At 39.2% G+C, this 2,962-nt stretch overlaps 1 annotated feature.

Moving 5' to 3' along the window:
• Positions 244 to 766: an enhancer, noted in NCBI's record as "NANOG hESC enhancer chr7:85315988-85316510 (GRCh37/hg19 assembly coordinates)". NCBI's record gives its function as "activates a minimal SCP1, AML or CMV promoter by ChIP-STARR-seq in primed H9 embryonic stem cells {active_cell/tissue: H9 hESC(primed)}" and the evidence as "EXISTENCE:reporter gene assay evidence [ECO:0000049][PMID:30033119]".

Below are 2,962 nucleotides of genomic sequence, written 5' to 3' on the forward strand. Positions count from 1 at the left end.
TTTCTTAGAGACCTGTTAAATGGCTGTGCTCAAAATGCTGATACAAATATGGACAATGATGACCACACTAATGAGTCTCAGATGGAAATAAGGAACTTTTTGGGAACTGAAGTAAAGCTTATCCATCACCCATGTTACATCCAAGAAAAGAACTCAACTGCATTGTGTTCATGCCCTTAGGATCTGTGGAATTTTGAACGTAAGAACGATGACGTAGGGTATCTGGCAGAAGAAATCTTAAAGCAGCTAAGCATTCAAGATGTTGTGGCTTGGCTGCTTCTAACTGCCTATGAATAGAGGTGGAAACAAAGAAATAATTTAAAGTTGAAACGTGTATTTAAAAGGGAAGCACAGCATAAAAGTTTGAAAAATTTGCAATCTATGCATGTGGCAGAGAAGAAAAAATTTTCAGGAGGGAATACAAGCAGGCTTTAGAGCAAGCAGTTACTTGCTAGAGAGATTAACATGACTGAAAGGGAGTGAAGTGTTAATATGCAAAACAATGGGGAAAAGCTCCAACCATGTTTAGAAGGGCTCTGGGTAATGCTTAAGCTGCTACTCTACAGGGTGCAAGCCATAAGCCTGGGTAGCTTCCACCTGGTGTTTTCTGCAGGTGCGCACAATGCAAGAGTGAAGGAGGCTTGGCAGCTTCTTTCTGGATTTCAGAGGATGCATAAGAACGCCTGGGTGCCCAGGCAGAAGCCTGTTGCAGGGTTGGAGCCCTCACAACGAACATCTACTAGAGTAGTGTAGAAGGGAAATGTAGGATTGGAGGCCCCACACAGAGTCCCCAACAGGGCATTGCCTAGTGGATCTGTGGAAAGAGTGCCATTGCCCTCTAACCCCAGAATTGTAGAGCCATGGGCACCTTGCATCCTGAGGCTTGAAAAGCTGCAGGCACCCAACACCAACTGAGAGCAGTCACAGATGCTGTACACAGCAAAGTCACAGGGGCAGAGCTGCCTAAAGCTGTGGAAGCTTACCTCTTGTACCAGTGTGCCCTGGGTATGGGACGTGAAGTCAAAGAAGATTGCTTTGTAGCTTTAACACTTAATGACTGCTCTGCTTGGTTTCAGATTTGTGTGAGGCCTAGTGTCCTTTTTGGGTGATTTCTCCCTTTTAGAATGGAAATGTATGCCCAATGACTGTACCACCATTGTATCTTGGAAGTATATAACTTGTTTTTGATCTCACAGGTTTATAAGTGGAAGGAACTCATCACTAGATGAAACTATGGACTTGGGACTTTTGAGTTAATGTTGGAAAAAGTTAAGACTTTTAGGAAACTATTGAGAAAGTATGATTGTTATTTACAATGTCAGAAGGACATGAAATTTGTGGGGGGTGGGCAGTAGCAGAATGATATGGTTTGGATGCTTATGCCCTGCAAGTCTCATGTTGAAATGTAATCTTCATTGTTGGAGGTGGGGCCTGGTGGGACATGTTTGGCTCATGGGGGCAGATTTCTCATGAATGACTTATCATCATCCCCTTGCTAATGAGCAAATCCTGGCTCTGAGTTCACACAAGATATGGTTCTTTAAAAGTGTGTGGTGCCTCCCCACTACTCTTTCCCCACTCTTGTCATATGATGTGCTGGCTCCCCATCACCTTCCACTGAGCTTCCTGAGGTCCTCACCAGAAGCAACTGCCAGCACCATGCTTCTTGTATAGGCTGCAGAACCATGAGCCAAAATAAATCCTTTTTTTAAATAAATTACTCAGTCTCATGTATTTTTATAACAATAAAAGTGGAGTAATACAGTTTCTCTTACTTCCCAAGCATTTATTTCCTAGCTCTGTCAGATTACTCAAGGTCTGTAACTTGCCTGAACCTCAATGTCTTCAATTAACAAACCGAGGCTAATGATAGCCCATATACTTACCCATAAGATTGTTTTAACAATTACATAATGATCCTAGTAAAATATACTTTAAAATTGCTGCCACAGGTAATACATATTAGCTGTTTATGATTATATTACTTAATTACTATATTATGATTATATTACTACCTTTTTTATTACTACTAGTGATGTAACTATTTTTCCAACAAGTTCCACCCACAGTAAACAGTTTACTACGGCCCTTCTTTTCATGCTTGACAGTATAGATTCATTATAAAATTAATTACTGAGTGAATTAAAAAATAAATTGAATTTGGCACTATTTAAGTATCTAAAAATTTCAAAAGAATGTTCATGAGATAAATTGCACTTTCATAAAAGGCCTGTGGTTCAAATATGTTTTCTCAAATGAGTTGGATATATAACTGAAGCTGCTCTCCCATGTAAAAATTGAAGATCTCAATGAGAACAAAGTAGAGAAAGGGAATTCTATCTGTTTGCAAAGGCAGCCAAAATAATTTAAGATTGATTCTCTACCCACTGGGAGATTTCATACACTCATCACTTTCCTTTAGTCTGATATATGGGCAGTTCCTTTTAATTCTCTTATTCTTGGCTCCCACAAATGATTGCTTTGCCAGAAATAAGGCCACAACTCAACAATGCCAGATGGGCTGTGCTCCACATGCGCTCAGAGAAGGCCTGAGGCCTGTTTGTGACACAGGTCGTGTCTGAGGTGAGTTAGAGATTTCTCTCAAATTTCACAAAAGCTTATGGTGGTATTCAGCAATTGTTTGAAATGGAAAAAAAAATCAATTTGCTTTTCATAATGTCACATGAAGGGACACAATGCCATGCTTGTAAATAAAGTACATTGAATAAGATATGGTATGAAAGCCATTTTTAATTCAAAGAGCAGAATACATCCAAAACTGAAATTTCACATTTGAAAAACACAGGCCCTAAATTTGAATGCTTCTACCTTGCTTATTGATTCTTTTTAATTAAAAACTTGTTAACAGAATTAATATTACATGGATTAATAAATTAGTAAATGGTTTGCCAGGACTTTGCCCAGGATTCTTATGAATTGTAAGATTGGGAAATGCAGTGTA

This window comes from Homo sapiens, chromosome 7 (assembly GCF_000001405.40).
Source record: "Homo sapiens chromosome 7, GRCh38.p14 Primary Assembly".
NCBI lineage: Eukaryota > Metazoa > Chordata > Mammalia > Primates > Hominidae > Homo > Homo sapiens.